A 26825-nucleotide genomic window follows, 5' to 3' on the forward strand; every position below is an offset into this window, starting at 1 on the left:
ACTAGATGAGGGATGAGGAAAGGTAGGAGCTTAGAAAAAAAGAAAGGAATGATTAAAAAAAAAGCAAGCAAGTAAGCAAACATTGGTCTAAGAAAGCAAATCAATGAAGAGGATTTGACTAAAAATATCCCCACCGAATAGAGTCAAAATACCCCCACTACCACAACCAACCACCACCTTATAATTAAAAACAAAAGGATTTGCACTAATTTTTCTTTACTGGCACACATTCCTTTCACATATGGACTAGATTATAAAAATGAGGCTTCGATAAGTTCTGAAGGAAGATCTACGTGTTGGAGAAGTAGGTTACCTTCAATAATAAATATCCTCCAGATAAATATAAAAAACTTCAAGATGAAAAACATTGCAAATAAACCGTATTTTCACAGTACTGATTAGGGCTCTATGCCTGGGGGCTGGGGTATGTCTGCTGAGGGCCAGAGGGCGGAGAGACTTCCAGTGTTTCCAACTTGACTTTCCCTTAAGAAGATGAGTTATGAGTGAGCCCATATCAGATGAGATATGGATTCTGATAGAGACATTAACCTGAGCCCTTCCCCACAAAGCAAATAGGCTTCTCACTGTGCATTAAGTAAATAATTTGTGCTATTTCCCTAAAGGGAAGTACAGTGTTATGGAGTCAGAAAAGTTGTCAGGTAGCAATATGATTATTTCATTAACTCTACACGAACACTTATTGCCCTAGCCAAGCATCATCAGCTATATCCTATTGTTGTGTTTTACTGAGGGGATGATGTCAGTGACAGGGAATGTGGAGACAAGAAAGTCGTCTCCAGTTGCCGTCCATTAGGTATAGAGTTGATGGTTCACTAGACTTCCATAGGGCAGGTCTCCAGCTATTCTCTTTTAATGATGACTGTTGGCTAACCTTATTTGTAATTAATGAATTGCCTACATGTGTATTCATTTAATATTTATCTTTCATAGGAACTCTTCAGTAAGCTTCATGAGGACAAAGATTATATTATGTTTTGTGAACTGCTGTTTATTCCCACTACTGAGCAGTGTTTGACACATAATATGCTATTAACTGTTGAATGAATGAATGAATGCTGCAAAACAGTGTAGGAGCCTGGCAGGTGATAAAAGATAATTAAATGCTGTAGGTCTAATATTGTGTGCCAGGATAACTTTGTCAAGACCTTTTAAGAGATGAAAGAAAGACAACATGATGCTGACAGGGAACAATGTATACCTACATGGATTATTTAATCTGTTCTCAGAGTTTATGAAAGGAATAAAATGGTGTAGAAATGGATGTATTCCTCTCCTCTCTAATTCTGACCATACTCCTATCCCAATCTACTAATTGGGTATAGAATTACAGTGAGTTTTGCAATTCCATAGGAAATAATGAGTTTAATAATGAAGACTATTCTAGTGCTTATTTTCATGCCAAGCAGTGGCCTTAATTCAATCAACATCACTTTGAAGAGGTTATTCTTGCTCACCCCAGTTGAAGATAGAATATAGACTGAGGCATTCAATATGTTTGGTGGACTGAGAGGGTTATTTACAATTATTTTGGTGCTGTAAATTGTGTCTTTGCATGGTCACTGAACTACTAGTAATACCGTCACTCCCACCACCGGCATCAACATTGTCACTACCACCATAATAAGATCAGTTACTGAGATAATAAGTAGGAGAGCCATGCTTTGAATCCAGGGTGGCCTGACTCCAAAGCGCATGCCCTTTCTGTTGTGCTCTTGCCACAAAGTGTAATATTCATAGGCAAATCCTCCTACAGGGAGTAGGACAGTTACATCCTGTTTGATGGCACCACTGTCAGGTACTCTTAATCAGACAATTCCAAGGTTTTTGTGGTCTCAGTTCAAGCCTAAGCAGCAGAACTCCTAAGTTCAGTCTCTGCTAACCTTTAACTAATCTCTTATTGCTCCTTGTCCTTATCTTTTAAATGGATTCATAGTTCATGAGAGAGGGGTGTGAACCACTAATGAATGTAGACCACAGGGGAGAGTGGATTAAAGAGATTAGCTCAGGAAAGAACAATATATTATCACTGTGAAAGAACATTTTATCTTTGTGTTTGATTTTGGGTCTAGGTGTATTAAAACCCAGAAAAAGAAAAAATAATTATGATAATTCTTTACGGCTACCATGTGTGGTCAAACTTTTATTACGTAAGGTTAGAGAGACAAGACGCTTAAGGACCCATCAAACATTTATTTGCTATTTCAATTGTATTTCTTTTTCGCCTGCTCTATTGCTCTTGATTTTGTTGTATATGCCATGTTTGGGAACATTCTTTTTCACTAGAACCATGTTCCTAAAATTGTACTATGGTTCGTCATGAGGAATAATTCAATCTTTGACACAGACTGGGGGTCAGGGAGCTAGAAATCAGAATCATACAGATAGAAAGGAAAGAACTTTTTAGAAAGTGATTGGTTGCACAAACTGGCAAGAAAACAATTTTAGGCCAGGTTGGTAACATCAGATGCATTATTTGGTCACAGGGGTAGACAGACCGTTAATACTTTTTATGAAGTTAATCTTCACTTTTACTTCATAGTGAGAGTAGTTAGGGTGTGGGCTTTATTTTTGTCATTCCAGTTTTATTAGGTTGTCTACTTTAAGTGAAATGGGAGTGTGCACTTCATGGTGTGTGGCATTAGTGCTTCCAAGGAGTGTGCCCCAAATCAGCCACATTTTAATTTAGATGTATCTGTACAAAGTAATAGACTGCTTTGCTAGATATTCTAGTCTTAGTATTTCTATACTTCCCTTTAACTCCAAAATACCAGATATAGTCTTTGGTCTGTTTTCTTCTGCTGTGATGTCACAGAGCAGTTTTGTTGCATTCCAATCATTGATGTAATATGATAAGTGACTTATCTCAGTCGGCTTCAACACAGAAGTTTGGGCTGAGTGAGGAGGCATGGTATAGTCTAAAATAAAACAAAACAGTAGATATATAGACTTACTAAGAAGACCTAAAAGATATTTTCATCGATAAATGTGATTCTGTTTCAATATATTTTTATTAATGTAGTCTGCCTTTAGTCTAAACCAGGGGTTGGCAAAGTGTGGCCCTCTGTGGCCAAATCTGGTCACATCCATTATTTGCATATCACCTATAGCTGCTTTCTCACAACAGTGGCAGAACTGAGTAGTTGAGACAAAGAATGTATGGCTGGCAAAGCCCAAAACATTTACTATCTGACTCTTTACAGAAAAAGTCTGGCAACCTCTGGTTTAAACTAATTTCTTGTCCTATTTCTTATTAAGTATACACTCATGAAATATAACAAGCCCCTACATTCAAACTCTTCAGAAAAAAGGAAAAGCAGCCCGAGTGTGGTGGCTCACGCCTATAATCCCAGCATTTTGGGAGGCCAAGGTGGGCGGATCACCTGAGGTCAGGAGTTTGAGACCAGCCTGGCCAACATGGCAAAACCCCGACTCTACTAAAAATACAAAAATAAGCTGGGCATGGTGGCTCACACCTATAATCCCAGCATTTTGGGAGGCCAAGGTGGGCAGATTACCTGAGGTCAGGAGTTTGAGACCAGCCTGGCCAACATGGTGAAACCCTGTCTCTACTAAAAATAAAAAAATAAGCTGGGCATGGTGACGCATGACTGTAATCCCAGCTACTCAAGAGAGTGAGACAGGAGAATCGCTTGAACCTGGGAGGTGGAGGTTGTAGGGAGCCGAGATCGTGCACTGCACTCCAGCCTGGGGAACAGAGGGAGACTCTGTCTCCAAAAAAAAAAAAAAAAAGCATTATTTTGAAGTTCCTCTTATTATAGTACACCATTAAAACATGACATAGTAAGTCCCAAAATAAAAATTTCTATATAGCAGCTGGAACATTCTAAGGCTTTAAACCCTAAGTGTGTTAGTTTACTTTGTGGAAAGAAATGAAAAAACAAAACAAACAAACAAACAAAAAAACCCGTAAGACCTAAAACCATAAAAACACCCAGAAGAAAACCTAGGCAATACCATTCAGGACATAGGCATGGGCAAAGACTTCATGACTAAAACACCAAAAGCAATGGCAACAAAAGCCAAAATTGACAAATGGGATCTAATTAAACTAAAGAGCTTCTGCACAGCAAAAGAAACTATCATCAGAGCGAACAGGCAACCCACAGAATGGGAGAAAGTTTTTGCAATCTACTCAACTGACAAAGGGCTAATATCCAGAATCTACAAAGAACTTAAACAAATTTACAAGAAAAAAACAAAAAAACCATCAAAAAGTGGGCAAAAGATAGGAACAGACACTTCTCAAAAGAAGACATTTATGTGGCCAACAAATATATGAAAAAAAGCTCATCATCACTGGTCATTAGAGAAATGCAAATCAAAACCACAATGAGATAGCATCTCAAGCCAGTCAGAATGGTGATCATTAAAAAGTCAGGAAACAACAAATGCTGGAGAGGATGTGGAGAAATAGGAACACTTTTTCACTGTTGGTGGGAGTGTAAATTAGTTCAACCATTGTGGAAGACAGTGTGGAGATTCCTCAAGGATCTAAAACCAGAAATACCATTTGACCCAGCAATCCCATTACTGGGTATATACCCAAAGGATTATAAATCATTCTGCTACAAAGAAACTTGCACACGTATGTTTATTGCAGCACTGTTTACAATAGCAAAGACTTGGAACCAACCCAAATGCCCATCAATGATGGTCTGGATAAAGAAAATGTGGCACATATACACCATGTAATACTATGCAGCTATAAAAAAGAATGAATTCATGTCCTTTGCAGGGACATGTATGAAGCTGGAAACCATCATTCTCAGCAAACTAACAGAGGAACAGAAAACCAAACACCACATGTTCTCACTCATAAGTGGGAGTTGAACAAAGAGAACACATGGACACAGGGAGGCGAACTTCACACATTGGGGCCTGTCAGGGGGTGGGGGACTAGGGGACAGGATAGCATTAGGAGAAATACCTAATGTAGATGATGGGTTGACAGGTGCAGCAAACCACCATGGCACATGTATAGCTATGTAACAAACCTGCACATTCTGCACATGTATCCCAGAAGTTAAAGTATAATGATAATTAAAAAATGAATTTAACTAATAAAAAAAACATTATTTTGAAATTCTTCTTGTTACAGTACATCATTAAAATGTGACCCAATGAGTCCCAAAATAAAAATTTCTATATGGCAGCTGGAACATTCTAAGGCTTTAAATGCTAGGTGCGTTAGTTTACTTTTTGGAAAGAAATGAAAAAAAAAATAATGTGAGCACATGTAGTTACTGTTTTTTAGGAGCTTCCAGAATCTTAACATTTTGAGCAAGTACCAATATTGGTATTATCCACAGAGCATAATAGTGAAAGCAGAAGTAAAGCCAAGAGCCTTGAGTCCAGTTGTTTTGTCCATAAAAAGAAAAATTTCCTATTGATAATGGATCTGCAAGGGTAATAAGATCTTATTGGTTTACTAAGGAGTGAAATGTTATTAAATAGCAGCACTGTTAGAGTCAGGAGGCAGTGGCTAAAAAAACTGCTATCTTGGGAAATATTGTTTATTGTTAACACTTGCTGTACTCACCCATATGAAGGAGTGATCAGCCACTAAATATTTTTGATTGTTGTAGAGGCAAAACAAATTGACTTTATTCACTCAAAGGATAGCAGGTCCTAATCCCTAGGAAAATAATATACTTTTAAAGTTTAGTTTGTTGCATTAAAACAGTTTTCAAATCAAGGTATTCTTTTGAAAGAACTATCTTAATAACAAAGACCAAATTCTGTTAGTTCACAGGTCTCATAAGAAAGGTGAAGAGAAAATATGGGGTGTTAATAAAAGAAAAAATACAGTGTAAACAAAACAGCTTTGTGTTCCAATGCCCTGTTTGGCATACATAATAATTTTATCCATAAGCAGTCTATTTTATTTGTAGCTCTACTTCTGTGAACTTAGAGGTATCTGCAGGAAAACTGCTTATGGAATGTAAATGAAATCATGAGATTTGAAATATGCATCAGGGTTTTAAAATGTGTCTTCCTTTGACTCTAGCTTTTATGAAATTTGAATACACAGTACTATCAAACTTAATTTTTCCAAGAAGAATTAAGTGCCCAATTTATGTCTGAGCTTCAGATTCCTTGTCTGTCTCATAGTTACCACTAACACAGTTATTTAAACTTCATTTGGGTAAGTGAAATGACATTTAGTTTAAAAATTTTGTTTGGAGATTGCATGCTCCTCTAGAATGTAGGGTTGAACTGTACAGGCAGATAGGATTATAGTTCAGATGTATTTTTTCCTTGAATGTTTGAGTAACTGGCTGATCTGAATACCACTGCTGCTTGATGAATTATTACAAAACTTAGTAACTTACAACAATAAGCATTTTATTATGTTCACAGATTCTGTGGGATAGGACAGGGCACAGAAAAATGGCTTGCTTATTCTTCATAGTGGTTAGGATTCCAGCTGAAGAGATTTGAGGGCTGGAGTGATTTGATGGCAGGGAGTCGGAATCATTTGGAGGTTCCTTGACTCACATGTGCCTGTGTTGGGAAGACTTGAAGACTAGAGCTGCTAACCAGACTACCTACAGAGAGGTGGCTTCTCCATGTGGCCACTCCAACTAGCTTGGCTTGGAGCCAAGCAAGGCAGCATTAGGACAATTGGGTTTCTTATACAGCAGCTCAAGTCTCCAAGCATGGCTATTCTGGCAAACAAAGTAGTAGCTGCATCATCTATGCCACATAGCCTTATTCCACTGTGCTGTATTGGTCAAAGCGGTCCCAAGTACATCCAGTTTTAAGGAGATGAGAATTAGACTCTGCCTTTTGAAAGGGGAGTGGCGAGGTCACATCAGAGAAGAGGATGTGGAAGTGGAGATGTTAGGGAGACCCTCTTTGGGAAATATAATCTGTGACATTGGCCAAAGAAAAAGTGAGTATACAATCAGGAGAATGTAAGTGTTATGTTAAAAGTGAAATGTTAACATTTTTGTGATGTTGATTATTTATTAGAATTGGATGTCTAATAGACATCTCAAACTTCTTATGTTCAAAATAGTTTTTTCTCTTTCCTCAAAAATCGAAACAGTGATTTTTGTCTTCCCCACTGTTGGTCTTCAAGTTTCTCCATCTTAGAAAATGGCACCATTTCCAAAACAAAATGTAGGAGTCACCTTTGATTTTTCTTGTTCTTTCAACTCTTACATCTAATGTGTCAACAAGTTCACTTAGTTCTACCTCCAAAATGTCTTTCAAATTTATTCACTTCTCTCTATCTTCAGTCCTCACCCCTGCCTTAGTCTGTTTTGTGCTGCTAAAATAGAATACCTAAGGCTGGGTAATGTCTTTTTTTATTTTTTGAAATTATTTATTTGTTTTTTTAAAATTTTTATAATTTTTGTGAATACATAGTAGGTGTATATATTTATAGGTTACATAAAATATTTTGATATAGGCATGCAATGTGTAATAATCACACCAGGGTAAATGGGGCATCTATTACCTCAAGCATTTATCCTTTGTGTTACAAACAATTCAATTATACTCTTTTTTTTTTTTTTTTTTTTTTGAGATGGGGTCTCATTCTGTTGCTCAGGCTGGAGTACAGTGGTGCAATCTCGGTTCACCGTAACCTCCGCGTCCTGGGTTCAAGTGATTCTCCTGCCTCAGCCTCCCAAGTAGCTGGAATTCCAGGCCCACGCCACTGTGCCTGGCTAATTTTTTGTATTTCTAGTAGAGATGGGGTTTCACCATGTTGGCCAGGCTGGTCTCGAACTCCTGACCTCAGATGATCTGCCTGCCTCAGCCTCCCAAAGTGCTGGGATTACAGGCGTGAGCCACTGCTTCTGGCCTCTTTTAAATGTACAATTAAATTATTTTTGACTATAGTCAAACTGTTGTGCTAGCAAATATCAGGTCTTTTAAATTCTTTCTATTTTTTTGTACCCATTAGCCCTCCCCACTTTCCCCCACCACCCCCACTACCCTTTTCATCCTCTGGTAACCATCCTTCTACTATTTCCATGAGTTCAATTGTTTTGATTTTTAGCTCCCACAAATAAGTGAGAACATGTGAAATTTGCCTTTCTGTGCCTGGCTCATTTCACTTCACATAATGACCTCCAGTTTCATCCATATTGCTGCAAATGACAGGATCTCATTCATTTTTAAGGCTGAATAGTACTCCACTGTGTATATGTACCACACTTTATGCATTCCCCTGTTGATGGGCACTTAGGTTGCTTCCAAATCTTGGCTATTATGACCACTGCTGCAATAAACATGGGCATGCAGATATCTCTTTGATATATTGATTTCCTTTTTTTGGGGGGTATATACCTAGGAGTGGGATTGCTGAATCATAAGGCAGCTCTATTTTTATTTATTTATTTATATTTATTTTTTGAGATGGGGTTTCGCTCTTGTTGCCCCGGCTGGAGTGCAATGGCACAATCTTGACTCACTGCAACCTCCGCCTCCCAGATTCTCCTGCCTCAGCCTCCCAAGTAGCTGGGATTACAGGCATGTGCCACCATACCTGGCTATTTTTTTTTTTTTTTAATTTAGTAGGGATGGGGTTTCACCATGTTGGTCAGGCTGTTCTTGAACTCCTGACCTCAGGTGATCCACCTGCCTTGGCCTCTCAAAGTGTTGGGATTACAGGTGTGAGCCATCATGCCAGCCTCTATTTTTATTTTTTTGAGGAACCTCTAAACTGTTCTCCATAGTGGTTATACTAATTTATATTACATAAAAGCCATTTTAATTGGGGTGAGCCGATATCTCACTGTGGTTCTGATTTGCATTTCTCTGATGATCGATGATGTCGAGCACCTTTTCATATACCTGTTTGCCATCTGTGTGTCTTCTTTTGAGAAAAGTGTATTTAGATCTTTTGCCCATTTTTAAATTGGATTACTTGAGTTTTTTCCTTATAGAGTTGTTTGAGCTCCTTATATATTCTGGTTATTAATCCCTTGTCAAATGGGTAGTTTGCAAATATTTTCTTCCATTCTGTGGGTTGTCTCTTCACTTTGTCAATAAGACTGGGTAATTTATAATGAACCGAAATATATTGTATCACAGGTCTGGAGGCAGGGAAGTCCAAGATCAAGGTGTCAGCATGTGGCAAGGGCCTTCTTGCCAGTTCAGTTCTAAGAATGAACTTCCCGGATTCTAAATTTGATCATGTGCCACCCTTGTTTATAAATCTTCAGTAGTTTCTGATTGCACTTGGAATAAGATCTTAATTCCTTCCTAGACTTACAAAACCCTGCAAGATTTGTCTCTTGCCTCCTTCTCCAAACCTCATTTCATCACTACTCTCTCTGCTCATTCACTGTGCTCTACCGTCACCGATCTCCCTTTGTTCCTCAACCCTCAAGTGCCTTTGAATCTGCTGTTTTCTCTGCCTAGAGCACATTCCCCAACATGCTCTGCATGGCTGGATCCTTTAACGTGAGCTGTTGCCTCCTTAGGCCTTCCCTGTCCAGCCAATCTAAATATTCTACCTCATTACTCTCTCCTTTATCATCCTATTTATTTCTATAGTAGAAATTATCTTATTATTTTATATGTTTGTTTACTTGTTTACTGCCTCTCTTATCAACTAGAAGTTAAGCTTCCTGAAGACAGTGGCCTTGTCTATCTTGCTCATCCCTGTTTCTTCAGTACTTTGCTGAATCTTGTGTATAATAGGCATTCCATAAATATTTTTTGAATGAATAAATGAAAGACAGTTTAAAACAAGAGGAAAATTACATGTTTAAGTCTAATTTCTCATGAAAACTTACCCATATTTTACTCAAGCCAATAGCTGAATATAAAAGATGACTTTTACATGACTAGTCACAGAAGAATTAAAACTTACAAGTGTTTTTGGTCTCAATATTACCTATCAAGGGGGCTTTTACTATAATTGAACTTGTAAACATTATTAACTTCATTTATTAATTGTTTTATTTATTCATTCAGCTTTTAGTGAGAGCCTACTATATGCATAGGACTGTTCTAGAGCAGACAAATAATGTAAAAATGCATAAGACACATTTCCTACTTTCACAGAGCCTAAAATTTAGTGGAGGATATAAGAAACATATACCAAAAGCCTCAATACTGGTGATGGTGTTGGTGACATTTAAGTGGCATAGTCTAAATGCTATCAGTATGGAGGAGAGGTCTTTAGGGCTGAACTAATCAGAGAATATTGATTAGGCCAACATTTAAATTGGATATTTTAAAATAAGGCTTTTAATAGGTAGAGATGAAAATTGAGGAAATAAAGACATTCCTGGTAAAATACATGGCATGAGCAAGGGACTGGGACCAAGAAAATAAAATACATGTTTAGAAAATGGTGAGAAATCTAGGCTGAGTGGAGAATCAAACTGTGTATGGGGTCAGTAGCAAATACAGCTGGTTGAAGCCATGTCATGAAATGCTACTAACTCCAAGCTAAATAACATGGATTTCATTCAACAGTTGATGAAGAATTACTGAAGAACTACTGAAAAATTTTTGTTTGTTTTGTTTTTTTTTTTTTTTTTAAGAATGGTGGGAGGTTCATCAAAACAGTGCTTTAGGAAAATTAACGTGGCTTTGCGTGCAGGCTGGACTGCAAATGGAGAGTGTGGAGAGGAGAGTGTGGATGTTGGGAGGTCATACTTTATCCATCAAGGACCAAGTGGTGCCAACTTTCTTTATGTACCTCCTACAGGTAGATTGAGAAGGCACAGTATAGTAGAAAGAGCATAGGCCTAAGCCTAGTTACAGAACCCTGGCTTCGTAACTTTGGTACTTGAGTGACTTGAGGTCAGTCACTTGATGTTTCTGAGCCTCTGTTCCCTCAATTGTAGAACAGGGGTAATTTTTATCCTGTTGTCTAGTTTCCATGGGAATTAGGACATACTTGACAACAGTAGCTATATAGTATTATTAATGATTGAATGCAGCATTGAATTCATTTGCTTAAACTTTTTTAGTATTACGTGCGGTGACTTCCATTTGCTTTGACTGGTGGTCCATGCTAAAGCAAGATTATGAAAGCAGTTTATTAGTACAGCACCACTATACCTAGTATGTAAATTTTCTTTTGCATTCTCTGAAAAATCACCTCCATCTACTTGATTACTCTGGTCTTTATTCCAAATAGTAACTGCAATGTCAGCAGAAGCTTTTGAATAGTTGTTTCTCTAAATGGAATGTCTTTTACTCTTGCCAGGATAGGCAAAGTGTTAAATAAATAGTCAATACTTTCTGTATTTTAATTTAATCAAAGAAGCAGTAATGAAATTTGAGGGCTACTGGTGGAGGCAGAGAGAGTTGTCTATAACTCTTCTACTTTGTTCTGTTTGTCTCTTATTCTTTTTCCCTTATTAGAATTTATTTTAAATAACTTCCCTGGACTAGGACACCAGGCTATTGGTTCCAAGACATCACTACACCTATGAAAAAAATTGAGTATTGAGAAGTAATGTGGGGTTACTTTCCTTGGATCAAAGTTACTTAAACACTTAGATGAAAGCTTGAGAGGAAAGGAGTTTACCTATCAATAATTCAAAAACAATCTCCCTCTTCCAATTCCTTCTTCACCATTACATATTCTAGCATAGATATTTTCTTTTTCTTTCTTTTTTTTTTTTTTTGAGACGGAGTCTCGCTTTGTCGCCAGGCTGGAGTGCAGTGGCGTGATCTTGGCTCACTGCAACCTCTGCCTCATGGGTTCAAGTGATTCTCCTGCCTCAGCCTCCTGAGTAGCTGGGATTACAGGCACATGCCACCATGCCCAGCAGATTTTTGTATTTTTAGTAGAGATGGGGTTTCACCATGTTGGCCAGGATGGTCTCAATCTCTTGACCTTGTGATCTGCCCGCCTCAGCCTCTCAAAGTGCTGGGATTACAGGCGTGAGCCACCGTGCCTGGCCTAGCACAGATATTTTCTGACAAATGTTTGCAGAATATGAATCTTCTTTAAGTTTAAGCAAGTAAAAATTGCTGAATGAAAAGAGATATGTTGGCCTTTGCCACTAATTTCTGTGTAATTCTGAGTAAAATGTTAGTTTTTTTGTAAACAGAGATAAAAGTCTCGAAATTTAATTTAGGGATGAAGATTACTAGCATCAGGCTCAGTGCCTAGATATGAAACACCAGCACCACCATCAGAACACCAAGAAAAAGATTTCCCTCCTCCGCTTATTTTATCATGAAAAACCAAAAAGCTAAAGTCACAGTATCAGTAGTCCTCCCCTTAACCACTATGGATACTTTACAAGATCCCTAGTGAATGCCTGAAACTGTGTATAGTACTGAGCCTTATACATACTTTGTAGTACTGTCTGTACTATGTTTTTCTATATAGTACATTATAAACAAATACCATGGTGTTACCAGTGCATGGGAAATTATTAATGACTTTCAAAACTATATGTTGTATTTCTACTGTGCACCCCATAGGAAGGACTGCAGATAGAAAGCACATACCTGTGACAGAAGGTAGAAGAAAACACCATTGAAACTCTCATGTGAGATAGCTGTGGCAAAATGTAGTCAAGATAAAAAAGAAATAAAATCAAAGTCTAGTATTTCCAAATTCCAAAATTCTGTTTTTGGATAGCTGATATCTCAGAAGTATATGTAGGTATTGATATCAGTATATATGTGCTCTGTCAGGTTCAGTTGAAATGAGAGAAGTAGATGTAATTTAGGTGTTCTATTGTGTGGATGTCCCCAACAATTATCTTTTATTATTAATTAATTAATTTATTTATTTTGAAATGGAGTCTCCTCTGTCACCCAGGCTGGAGTGCAGTGGCACGATCTCAGCTCACTGCAACCTCCACCTCCTGGGTTTAAGTGATTCTCCTGCCTCAGCCTCCCAAGTAGCTGGGATTACAGGCACATGCCACCACGCCAGGCTAATTTTTGTATTTTTAGTAAAGACAGGGTTTCACCATGTTAGCCAGGTCTCAGTCTCCTGACCTCGTGATCTGCCTGCCTCAGCCTCCCAAAGTGGTGGGATTACAGGCATAAGCCACTGTGCCTGGCTATCCCCAACAATTATCTAACCCTTCTGGACCAGATGTTTAAGTTGACCGAGAAAGACCAATCCAACTCAACTCCAAACTCCCTCAAATTTTGAGTAAATCTGAAACAGTTGACCATGTATGAAAATGTAGGGAGTTCTGATAGACATATAGCTTCTTGTGAAGGTGAAAGTAATACCACCAAAAAATAAATAAAACAACAAGAAAGAAAGTGATACCACTACTAACAAGGGGATTTTTATTAAGATTAAATGAGTTAATTTACTAGAACAGACCCTAAAACATGGGAATGGCTATGTAGGTGTTGGCCATATTATTATTTTTACTGTTGTTAATGAGGCTATCAATATTTTAGTTGCCAGATAGCAGAAACTGTCAATAGACAGCTTATTCCATTGGAATTTTTATAAACAGAAGGGAAATTCTGGAATTGTGCTTAGATAAAAGTACAACAGCTATGAACTGGGTTTGAAAAGATGGAACCAATTTCCTTTTTTTTTCCTAGCCACATCTCTTAAAATTTGTGTTTTATGACAAAAGAGATTGTCCTCACTCAAAATTAGGCTCAATGACCACACCACACTTTTTTTTTTTTTTTTGAGACAGAGTCTTACTCTGTTGCCTCTGAGCACAGAGGTATGATCTCAGCTCACTGCAGTCTCTGCTTCCTGGGTTCAAGCAATTCTCGTGCCTCAGCCTCCCAAGTAGCTGGTATTAACAGGTGTGCACCACTACGCCCAGCTAATTGTATTTTTAGTAGAGACAAGGTTTCAGGATGTTGGCCAGGCTGGTCTCGAACTCCTGGACTCAAGTAATCCACCCACTTCAGCCTCCCAAAGTGCTGGTATTACAGGGGTGAGCCACCGCACCTGGCCCACACACCATTTTTTAATACAGTATGGTCAATCAACTGGAAACCACAAATCTAAATTATGCAAAGGAAATATGTAAAAATATGAAAGTCTTCTCAGAAAGAGATATTTTTTACTGCCACTCCACCTATTTTTCTCTATTTTATGATGATTTAAAAGTAAAACAACATTGCTTTTATAATGAAAAAAGCAACACATTTTCTTTTATTTGTTTTTGAGACAGGGTCTTGTTGTTTTGCCCAGGCTGGAGTGCAGTGGCATGATTATGGCTTACGATGTAGCCCAGGCTCAAGCAATCCTCATGCTTCAACCTCCCAGATTTTGGGATTACAGCAATTTCCTTCCGAAAATCTTTTTGTCCTTTTCTGACACTGATTTGAATGGAGCCCAGGTGGGAAGTGAGCAAATACTTTTGGCACCGAACAACATCCAATAACTATGAAAGGGGTTAGACATTCTAGTCTTGTCACTGGTGTCTCAGTAGCCACTGTGTCATAGTTTGTAAAAGTATTAATCTATCAGGTAGGCTTCTGTTTAAATTATATACTTATTCATATGGAAAATTATCCATAGGCAGATAAATGGAATAATTTATATATTTTAAATCCAAATTTCATTTAAAAATAAGCAATCTATGTGCACAGTTAAAATTTTTAAAAAGTGGGGGTGGAGCCAAGATGGCTGAATAGGAACAGCTCCAGTCTACAGCTTCCAGCATGAGTGACGCAGAAGACGGGTGATTTCTGCATTTCCAACTGAGGTACGGGGTTCATCTCACTGGGGATTGTTGGACAGTGGGTGCAGCGCACCAAGCGTGAGCCGAAGCAGGGCGAGGCATCGCCTCACCCAGGAAGCGCAATGGGTCAGGGAATTCCCTTTCCTAGTCAAAGAAAGGGGTGACAGATGACACCTGGAAAATTGGGTGACTCCCACCCTAATACTGCACTTTTCCAATGGTCTTAGCAAACGGCACACCAGGAGATTATATCCCGCGCGTGGCTTGGAGGGTCCTACGCCCATGGAGCCTCGCTCATTGCTAGCACAGCAGTCTGAGATCAAACTGCAAGGTGGCAGCGAGGCTGGGGGAGGGGCGTCTGCCATTGCTGAGGCTTGAGTAGGTAAACAAAGCAGTCAGGAAGCTCCAACTGGGTGGAGCCCACTGCAGCTCAAGGAGGCCTGCCTGCCTCTGTAGACTCCACCTCTGGGGGCAGGGCATAGCCAAACAAAAGGCAGCAGAATCCTCTGCAGACTTAAATGTCCCTTTCTGACAGCTTTGAAGAGAGTAGCGGTTCTCCAAGCACACAGCTGGAGATCTGAGAACAGACAGACTGCCTCCTCAAGTGGGTCCCTGCCCCCGAGTAACCTAACTGGGAGGCACCCCCCAGTAGGGGCAGACTGACACCTCACATGGCCGGGTACTCCTCTGAGACAAAACTTTCAGAGGAACGATCAGGCAGCAACATTTGCTGTTCACCAATATCCGCTGTTCTGTAGCTTCCGCTGCTGATACCCAGGCAAACATGGTCTGGAGTGGACCTCCAGTAAACTCCAACAGACCTGCAGCAGCTGAGGGTCCTGACTGTTAGAAGGAAAACGAACAAACAGAAAGGACATCCACACCAAACCCCATCTGTACGTCACCATCATCAAAGACCAAAGGTAGATAAAACCACAAAGATGGGGAAAAAACAGAACAGAAACACTGGAAACTCTAAAAATCAGAGTGCCTCTCCTCCTCCAGAGGAATGCAGCTCCTCACTAGCAATGGAACAAAGCTGGACGGAGAATGACTTTGACGAGTTGAGAGAAGAAGGCTTCAGGTGATCAAACTACTCCGAGCTAAAGGAGGAAGTTCGAACACATGGCAAAGAAGTTAAAAACCTTGAAAAAAAATTAGATGAATGGCTAACTAGAATAACCAATGCAGAGAAGTCCTTAAAAGACCTGATGGAGCTGAAAACCAAGGCACGAGAACTACGTGACAAATGCACAAGCCTCAGTAGCCGATTTGATCAACTGGAAGAAAGGGTATCAGTGATGGAAGCTCAAATGAATGAAATGAAGCGAGAAGAGAAGTTTAGAGAAAAAAGAATAAAAAGAAATGAACAAAGCCTCCAAGAAATATGGGACTATGTGAAAAGACCAAATCTACGTCTGATTGGTGTACCTGAAAGTGACAGGGAGAATGGAACCAAGTTGGAAAACACTCTGCAGGGTATTATCCAGGAGAACTTCCCCAATCTAGCAAGGCAGGCCAACATTCAAATTCAGGAAATACAGAGAACACCACAAAGATACTCCTCAAGAAGAGCAACTCCAAGACACATAATTGTCAGATTCACCAAAGTTGAAATGAAGGAAAAATGTTAAGGGCAGGCAGAGAGAAAGGTCGGGTTACTCACAAAGGGAAGCCCATCAGACTAACAGCTGATCTCTTGGCAGAAACTCTACAAGCCAGAAGAGAGTGGGGGCCAATATTCAACATTCTTAAAGAAAAGAATTTTCAACACAGAATTACATATCCAGCCAAACTAAGCTTCATAATTGAAGGAGAAATAAAATCCTTTACAGACAAGCAGATACTGAGAGATTTTGTCACCACCAGGCCTGCCCTAAAAGAGCTCCTGAAGGAAGCACTAAACATGGAAAGGAATAACCAGTACCAGCCACTGCAAAAACATGCCAAATTGTAAAGACCATTGAGGCTAGGAAGAAACTGCATCAAATAACGAGCAAAATAACCAGCTAACATCATAATGACAGGATCAAATTCATGCATAACAATATTAACCTTAAATGTAAATGGGCTAAATGCTCCAATTAAAAGACACAGACTGGCAAATTGGATAAAGAGTCAAGACCCATCAGTGTGCTATATTCAGGAAACCCATCTCAGGTGCAGAGACACACATAGGCTCAAAATAAAGGGATGGAGGAAGATCTACCAAGCAAATGGAAAACAAAAAAAGGCAGGGGTTGCAATCCTAGTCTCTGATAAAGCAGACTTTAAACCAACAGAGATCAAAAGAGACAAAGAAGGCCATTACATAATGGTAAAGGGATCAATTCAACAAGAAGAACTAACTATCCTAAATATATATGCACCCAATACAGGAGCACCCAGATTCATAAAGCACATCCTTAGTGACCTACAAAGAGACTTAGACTCCCACACAATAATAATGTGAGACTTTAACACCCCACTGTCAACATTAGACAGATGAATGGGACAGAAAGTTAACAAGGATATCCAGGAATTGAACTCAGCTCTGCACCAAGCGGACCTAATAGATATCTACGGAACTCTCCACCCCAAATCAACAGAATATACATTCTTCTCAGCACCACACCACACTTATTTCAAAACTGACCACATAGTTGGAAGTAAAGCACTCCTCAGCAAATGTAAAAGAACAGAAATTATAACAAACTGTCTCTTAGACCACAGTGCAATCAAACTGGAACTCAGGATTAAGAAACTCACTCAAAACCGCTCAACTACATGGAAACTGAACAACCTGCTCCTGAATGACTACTGGGTACATAACGAAATGAAGGCAGAAATAAAGATGTTCTTTGAAACCAACGAGAAAAAAGACACAACATACCAGAATCTCTGGGACACATTCAAAGCAGTGTGTAGAGGGAAATTTATAGCACTAAATGCCCACTAGAGAAAGCAGGAAAGATCTAAAATTGACACCCTAATGTGCACATGTACCCTAAAACTTAAAGTATAAAAAAAAAAGAACTAGAGAAGCAAGAGCAAACACATTCCAAAGCTAGCAAAAGGCAAGAAATAACTAAGATCAGAGCAGAAATGAAGGAAACAGAGACACAAAAATCCCTTCAAAAAATCAATGAATCCAGGAGCTGGTTTTTTGAAAAGATCAACAAAATTGATAGACCGCTAGCAAGACTAATAAAGAAGAAAAGAGAGAAGAATCAAATAGATGCAATAAAAAATGATAAAGGGGATATCACCACCATCCCACAGAAATACAAACTACCATCAGAGAATACTATAAACACCTTTACGCAAATAAACTAGAAAATCTAGAAGAAATGGATACATTCCTCAACCCATACACCCTCCCAAGACTAAACCAGGAAGAAGTTGAATCTCTGAATAGACCAATAACAGGCTCTGAAATTGAGGCACTAATTAATAGCTTACCAACCAAAAAAGTCCAGGACCAGATGGATTCACAGCCAAATTCTACCAGAGGTACAAGGAGGAGCTGGTACCATTCCTTCTGAAACTATTCCAATCAGTAGAAAAAGAGGGAATCCTCCCTAACTCATTTTATGAGGCCAGCAGCATCCTGATACCAAAGCCTGGCAGAGACACAACAAAAAAAGAGAATTTTAGACCAATATCCCTGATGAACATCGATGCAAAAATCCTCAATAAAATACTGGCAAACCGAATCCAGCAGCACATCAAAAAGCTTGTCCACCATGATCAAGTGGGCTTCATCCCTGGGATGCAAGGCTGGTTCAACATATGCAAATCAATAAACATAATCCAGCATATAAACAGAACCAATGACAAAAACCATATGATTATCTCAACAGATGCAGAAAAGGCCTTTGACAAAATTCAACAATGCTTCATGCTAAAAACTCTCAATAAATTAGGTATTGATGGGATGTATCTCAAAATAATAAGAGCTATCTATGACAAACCCACAGCCAATATCATACTGAATGGGCAAAAACTGGAAGCATTCCCTTTGAAAACTGGCACAAGACACGGATGCCCTCTCTCACCACTCCTATTCAACATAGTGTTGGAAGTTCTGGCCAGGGCAATCAGGCAGAAGAAGGAAATAAAGGGCATTCAATTAGGAACAGAGGAAGTCAAATTGTCCCTGTTTGCAGATGACATGATTGTATATCTAGAAAACCCCATCGTCTCAGCCCAAAATCTCCTTAAGCCGATAAGCAACTTCAGCAAAGTCTCAGGATACAAAATCAATGTGCAAAAATCACAAGCATTCTTATATACCAATAACAGACAGAGAGCCAAATCATGAGTGAACTCCCATTCACAATTGCTTCAAAGAGAATAAAATACCTAGGACTCCAACTTACAAGGGATGTGAAGGACCCCTTCAAGGAGAACTACAAACCGCTGCTCAATGAAATAAAAGAGGATACAAACAAATGGAAGAACATTCCATGCTCGTGGGTAGGAAGAATCAATACCATGAAAATGGCCATGCTGCCCAAGGTAATTTATAGATTCAATGCCATCCCCATCAAGCTACCAATGACTTTCTTCACAGAATTGGAAAAACTACTTTAAAGTTCATATGGAACCAAAAAAAGAGCCCACATTGCCAAGTCAATCCGAAGCCAAAAGAACCAAGCTGGAGGCATCACACTACCTGACTTCAAACTATACTACAAGGCTACAGTAACCAAAACAAAATGGTACTGGTACCAAAACAGAGATATAGATCAATGGAACAGAACAGAGCCCTCAGAAATAATGCTGCATATCTACCATCATCTGATCTTTGACAAACCTGACAAAAACAAGAATGGGGAAAGGATTCCCTATTTAATAAATGGTGCTGGGAAAACTGGCTAGCCATATGTAGAAAGCTGAAACAGGATCCCTTCCTTACACCTTATACAAAAATTAATTCAAGATGGATTAAGGACTTACAGGTTAGACCTAAAACCATAAAAACCCTGGAAGAAAACCTAGGCAATACCATTCAGGACATAGGCATGGGTAAGGACTTCATGTCTAAAACACCAAAAGCAATGGCAACAAAAGCCAAAATTGACAAATGGGATCTAATTAAACTAAAGAGCTTCCACACAGCAAAAGAAACTACCATCAGAGTGAACAAGCAACCTACAGAATGGGAGAAAATTTTTGCAACCCACTCATCTGACAAAGGGCTAATATCCAGAATCTACATTGAACTCCAACAAATTTACAAGAAAAAAACAAACAACCCCATCAAAAAGTGGGCAAAGGATATGAACAGACATTTCTCAAAAGAAGACATTTATGCAGCCAACACACATGAAAAAATGCTCATCATCACTGGCCATCAGAGAAATGCAAATCAAAACCACAATGAGATACCATCTCACACCTGTTAGAATGGCAATCATTAAAAAGTCAGGAAACAACAGGTGCTGGAGAGGATGTGGAGAAATGGGAACACTTTTACACTGTTGGTGGGACTAAACTAATTCAACCATTGTGGAAGTCAGTGTGGCGATTCCTCAGGGATCTAGAACTAGCAATACCATTTGACCCAGCAATACCATTTGACCCAGCAATCCCATTACTGGCTATATACCCAAGGATTATAAATCATGCTACTAGAAAGACACATGCACACGTATGTTTACTGCGGCACTATTCACAATAGCAAAGACTTGGAACCAACTCAAATGTCCAACAATGATAGACTGGATTAAGAAAATGTGGCATATATATACCATGGAATACTATGCAGCCATAAAAAATGATGAGTTCATGTCCTTTGTAGGGACATGGATGAAGCCGGAAACCATCACTCTCAGCAAACTATCACAAGGACAAAAAACCAAACACCGCATGTTCTCACTCATAGGTGGGAATTGAACAATGAGAACACATGGACACAGGAAGGGGAACATCACACACCAGGGCCTGTTGTGGGGTGGGGGGAGGGGGGAGGGATAGCATTAGGAGATATATCTAATGTTAAATGATGAGTTACCGAGTGCAGCACACCAACATGGCACATGTATACAGATGTAACTAACCTGCACATTGTGCACATGTACCCTAAAACTTAAAGTATAATAAAAAATAATTTGTAAAGTATGAATGATTCAGTGATAAGTCTTCCTCCCTATGCCTGCTCTAGTTCCCCTTCCTGGAAGCAAATAGTGCTTTTAATTGCTCATGTATCCTTCACGAGATGCTTTATGCACATGCAAATAAATACACAGATAGAGTCCCAATGTTATTGTGTAAGAAGAATGATGTCATAAGGAATTTGTGAAGCCTGAAATCTGTCTTAATAGAAATATATCCTGGGTAAGTAAGCTTCTCTATTTTTAATGTTCCAAAAAAGAAGGAATGCCATCAATCATTCTATAATTACTGAGTTCCTACTGTGTGTAAGGCACCATGCCAGATGCTATTTGTACTGTCAAGTTGCCTTTACAATTTTTCATATTTATGTCTTGTTGATTCAGATTTGTCCTCGAACATTCCTATCTCAGAAAGACCTTCCTTGACCCCCCCACTTGAAAGCAGCTGTCCCTTGCCCTGTCAACTCTATCACATCTCTGTGCTTTATTTCTTCTAGGGCTAAGGGGATTCTACAATTTCTCACTATGTCTTCCTTTTGAGGTGAAAGGGAGTGCTGTTATCATTACAGAAGGATAACAGGTGTAAATTGGCAATGTGACCTGGGATAGTTGGACACCCTCTTCATAGCATTTATCACTTCATTGCATTTAGCATTCCAAGATAATGGACATTATTTTGTCCACTTATTTGTTTACTTGTAAGTTCCATGAAGCAGGAACTTTTCTTGTTCTAGGAATCCATCACCCAGAAGAGTTCTTGACACAAAATAAGTAGGTTCTTAATAAATATTGGTTGACTGAATGGATGACCCAACCATGCCCCATATTCTGTGGTAGAACTGAGCATCCTTTGGTTGGCACTGGTAAATTGAAATGCCATGAAGGCACATTTGCTCAGAGTGCTCTTTCCCTAAGCAGAGGGGAAAAAGGAGCCAACGTTTAATATTCAGATTTTGATTTGCAGTGTTTTCCGTGAAGACATGAGTCTGGTAGATGGGTACTAGCAACATCAACTGTTTTGTTACTTGCAAGGAGACTGAGGTGCTGTGGTCTCCAAGATAGGCCTGGTCTAAAGAGCAGACCAGTGGGATGTGAACGGTAATAGGCCAGTTGGATCTGGTGGTCGGTTAGTCCATAGGGAAACCTGTCTCCAAGCAATGGAACAGCTGAATCCGCATGACTTGGTCCATAGGCCAAAAAGGAGGAACAGCTTTTAAGTGGCCTGCTATGTAGGCCCATTCAATTCCCAAGGAGGCAGGAAGCCAGTGGGATACAAAGGAAAAAACACCTTTCTGTGTCTGGGAAGTTGCTAGTCTGATCACGTGTATGTACATTTCACACACACACACACACACACACACACACTCTCTCTCACATTATGAGAGTCCAAGGGCCCCAAGAGTCTGTTCTGATAGAGAAGTCTAACATAATTCTCTACCACCGTACCTAAAACCAGACCAATCTTTTAAATCAGGGGCCTGGGTTTTAGTGGCTTAGTAGCTCATTTTAAGTTTTCCTTCTCCTTCCAAACAGAGAGGTCTGTGTCCTGTGTTATGCTGATCTATGGGAGAATTCCTGCAGGAGGAAGGGGCTGAAACATTGGCCTAAGGTTATTAAACAGAGCTTTCGTAATAAATATGTTGATACCATTTCTGAAAGATTTGCATATTTCTCTATCACATATTGTTCAATTTTATTAGAGGAAATCATTCTGGTATCCTGTTGGAATTGCTGAATTTTGGGGTATTATCTTAAGCTCCTTGATTTTAATGCTGTGGGAACTGAGACTCAGATTGAATAACCTGCCTTCCTTGACATTAACTGAGATAAGCTCCTGTTTTCAGAAGTTAGAACCCTCTACTGATAGTTGACTTTAGGCATGTGTTTTAAAAACGACAGTTGGATATGGTTGAGAGCTCAGTTGCTAAAGCTGTGAAGCAACTTGGGACACACGTTTAACCAAATAAAATTATTTTCCCCAGCTCATGCTGTGCTGACAGCTTCCAAAAACTGTGTTCACCTTCATTCTCTCCTCATAAAAAGGGGCTACAGGTATTTTTAAACCTGGGGTTTGAGGAAGAGAATGTTAATTATAAATCTAGATTAGTTGAATGTATTCAAGAATTTGCCAGACTGAATATGAATACTCTTGGAGTGTAAGTGAAACAAAAATGAGGCCTTTGGTGACCTATTATCTATCGATCTATATCTATCTATCTTTCATCCCAGATTGGTTTTAGAATGAGAAGAACAAAAGTTGCTTTTTCTCATTTCTTACTCTTACACAATGAAGTGGTTAACAAAATTGATACAGAGTGACAACTTTAATGATCATTCTGTTGCAAACAACTACAAGTCCAAACAAATATCAGCACAAAGAAAATCTCTATTCTGTGTAGCAACATGTTGGTCAGACTTTCGCCAATGAACCACCTATTTAAAAAGGACTTGATATTGACAAACATCTCTGATCAGTCTTTGACGTTTATAGTAACAAGCTATAATGTTATCTCCTACCACCTTTCTGTTTAGGCCCCAATATGAAATGCCTATGAATGTTATAATTTTGTATAACTCCAGGAGAAACATCCAACAATATTTTTCACCTTTTTTCCCAATAGTGAAAAAATCCAAATATAATAGTTATATTTATGGATTCTGCTCTTTGTTGAACACAGTGCTTTACAGACAACATATGGTGACAAGCCATCACTCTTCCTATTTTATGTAATGAGGAAACTTAAATACAGAGTCTTTAAGGACCTAGTCAGTCACACAAATACTGAGAAAATTCTATGCTAATAATCCTATCTGCAGGTCACATCGGCACCTTACTTTCAATAATCAACGCAGGGCCGATCAATTGCATTATTCTACTACATACAACTTCTTGTTTTAGAATCAAAGAATGTCATGCCTATAAGCGACCAGAAATGCCTGGACTACCTATTCGAAAACTTTCATCTTCATTCTTCTTAGAGACATTATGTCGTCATCACCTGCTGCCACTAGATGGTGCTTGTCATCGAAACAAAGGTCCTTCCTCCTTTCTGTTTTCTTTAGATGCCTATTAGGACCTTGGATGATACGAAAGAAATTTGATTAATAAGCTAAGTACTGGGCTGGTATTCTAAGAAGTCCTTTAGTACAGAGAGTTGTTGATTAAAAAGTAAACAAATCATTATCAGTAAAGCTTACTTACACCATTTTTCTAATTCCATCAGTTTTTCTGCTCATTCTTCTTGTCACCAAGCTGTGTGAACCCCAAGACAAAAAGAACTAATAAATCTTTCTTTGTGCTTATGAGAATCAAGAGACATGGCACAAGTTTTAGGAGAGGTGAACAAAAATCTCAGGATTCATTGTTATCACCCGGAAAAGCAATCGAAAGTGATCACATGCAGAGTTTATAAGAAAAATTAATCAATGACCTTTCAAAGGAAAACACGTATATCTCAACTACTGGACACTAATCAATAGGAAAGGAAATAGAACACTCTTTTAATTGTGGGATAGCAAACATCAAGTAATGAAAATGATAACAGAGGTTGTCAACGCTTTGCCAAAGACTCTTTTTCTCATTAATTTAAGACACATACCAAATCTCACCTCTATAGTACTCTCATTGTCTCCCTGCCTCCCACCCCACAAACCAACTTTATGCTCCTTTTAGGGTAAATTCTTGCCAATCTTTGTACTGAAATGCCTTCAGGAGTTACCTATTTAACTTACGTGAAGGAAAGTTTGATATATTTTGCAGCAGAATGCTTGAAAAATGTGTTTCTTGGACTTTTTCTTTCTTATTCACCAGCACTGAGTGTTCATGGCTGCTTCACGATTATAATGAGAAATTGCCAGCTATGTTGAAATACATAATCCACAGTGTGAAAAACTGCTGAACAGCAATGGCAAATTTTTAATACAAAAGTGACTTCCCTTTGCCTGTTAGCTTACTTTGCGGTTGCTGATTCTTGCTAACTGCCTGCTCAGGGAGTGAAAGTTAATTTTAACATTAGCCTAGAAACAGAACATAATCATTTAGGTGAAAACTTTAAAGCTAAATTTTTGTTTTATCTTTGGTTTTGAGTTTCCCATGAAAAATTCCCAGTGATATATCACTGCACTGGGTTATGTAGAATGTGTGAACATATATGTGAGCCAGATGTGACAACAGACACATGACAGTACATTTTAATTTCAGACATCAGATTGGCGTGTTTCCTTGTGCCTTCTGAGCATTAACTAAGGATTTTAAAGATAGAAACTTTTTAAAAGACACAGGCTCCATACCTGCTTTCCAAGCACTGGTGAGGCACCATGGATCTCTGGATCTCTTCCAGTTTTGAATACTAGAAAGAAAAGCCTCTGTCCTCAAATTATTTCCTCCCTACCCTCATTTTTTTTTTCTCTTGGAGGTCCTATAAGCTATAGCTTTGTATTGAAGAAATACTGGGGACCAGGAGCAGTTGGTATGTTAAATTATTTCTCTTGAGCTTTATGCATTTTGGTGGCTACTGTTGAAAACACAGTTTGGTCAGTGATGTCCACATACACATTACATATAATATGTATTACTAGAAAATGATATACACTTGCATGATATACCATGTGGTTGCAATCCATTAAGTGACTACTCTCTAGCAGTACCCAGAACAATAGATGGTGTGTCTGTGCTGACAGTCTGTTCATATCTTAATGGTTTACTTATGATTCAATAGTTTACCAATGGCAATGGTGCTGGATCACTGATATATTATTTGCTTGGCAAAGAGTACTTGAACCTCATTATTAGACTTAGGAACAGAATAAATACAAATAATCACTTTGCTAAGGCTGTTTTCCTAACTCCCAAGGAAGACAGAAAGGCATCAGTGACATAAGTGAAGGACACAGTTGACAACCACGTTATCTTCAGACATCTTTTGTTAAAGGTGAACAATTACTTAATACTGTGTTATGGCAGCACTCTATACGCCCCAAGTTTTATAAAGTAGAGTCAAGAGTGATCTGAGCTGGGAAACTCACGCAATTTTAGTTCTGCATGAAAGCACAGGCTCTCCCCACTGGGGAACTCTTTTGAGTAGGACAAAAAGCTGGACCTAGGACCCAGCCCAGGGCGTGAGAGAAAAGGAACCTGGGAGGCAAGAGCGGCCGGTCCGGAGCCGGGTCCTCCGCCAGCTCCGGGCGGGCGCTGCGCACAGAGCCCAAGCCCCCGGCGGAGGCGGCGCGGCTCGAGGCCCCTCCCCGCCGCCGATGCCCGGGCGGCTGACGCCGAGCAGCGGCCCGGAGCGGTGGGGGCCGGGCTGGCGGGCACGAGCGAGGGCAGGGCAGGGGGCCGGCCGAGGCCACTTACGGCTTTAAATATGGATCGCAGGCTCGCGCTCGCGGCACAGCCTCCGCCGCGGCCGCCTTCCGTGAGCCCCCGCACCCCGGCTTGCTCCCGAGGGGCGCCTGGGCTGGGCTCCACTGCTGCAGTGTTAGTTACTAGCAGGAACATCAGAGATCCCCATAAATATGCAGGAGCTGCAGGAGGCAAAGTAGAGTAGACGCCCGCGCTCTTACACACTCGCTCGCCGCGCACCACACAGGCTGTGTAGACATCCCCCCGCGCCACCTTTCCCCTTTCCTCGCGGGCCGTTCAGGTTGCAGTCCTGCCTGCTCCGAAGACCCTCCCGCCCCAGCGCCTTTGCCCCGCTCTCCCGCGCTCGCCTCTCTCCGGAGCGCGCACCCACCCAGGCGGCAAAGTTGTGACTACTTGGGCGCGGGTGACTGGCGCCCCGCTCGCTCCGCGCCCGGCGCAGACAACTTCCCGCGGCTCGGCCCCGCCGCGTCCCGGGCTCGCGCCTCCAGGGATTCCGCGGCCCCCCAGCCTCCAACCCCGGCGGCGCGCCGGGCAGCGCTTCGGTGGCGGCGGCGGCCGCGGTGGCAGCGAAGGCGGCGGCGGCGGCGGCAGTGGCAGTGGCCGCTGCAGCCCCACACTCCGCCGCCAAACTGGAGGAGCGACGGAAGCCAGACCCCAGGAGGTGAGCGCCCGGCCCCGGCAGCTGCCGGGAGGGTCGATGGGGTCCCTCGC

General features: G+C 40.1%; 1 protein-coding gene and 1 long non-coding RNA gene across 5 annotated transcripts in view; one reads left to right on the top strand and one right to left on the bottom strand.

Moving 5' to 3' along the window:
• SLC4A4 (solute carrier family 4 member 4) overlaps positions 1–26825 on the top strand; it is a 509424-nt gene that overhangs the window by 97967 nt on the left and 384632 nt on the right. The window contains exon 1 of one of the 4 annotated variants that reach the window (NM_001134742.2): positions 26139–26775. The exons of 2 other annotated variants lie outside the window; for them this stretch is intronic. The gene's annotated coding sequence lies outside the window, so the exon portion shown is untranslated. Of the gene's footprint in view, positions 1–26138; positions 26776–26825 lie in introns of those variants that run through there. One more of the 4 variants, NM_001098484.3, reaches the window with a different exon arrangement.
• LOC124900712 (uncharacterized) lies at positions 23062–25898 on the bottom strand. The gene is made up of 2 exons (XR_007058133.1): positions 23955–25898; positions 23062–23829 (listed from the first exon to the last, which is right to left on the bottom strand). It is a non-coding gene; the product is annotated as an uncharacterized LOC124900712 (long non-coding RNA).

This window comes from Homo sapiens, chromosome 4 (genome assembly GCF_000001405.40).
Source record: "Homo sapiens chromosome 4, GRCh38.p14 Primary Assembly".
NCBI classification, from domain to species: Eukaryota; Metazoa; Chordata; class Mammalia; order Primates; family Hominidae; genus Homo; species Homo sapiens.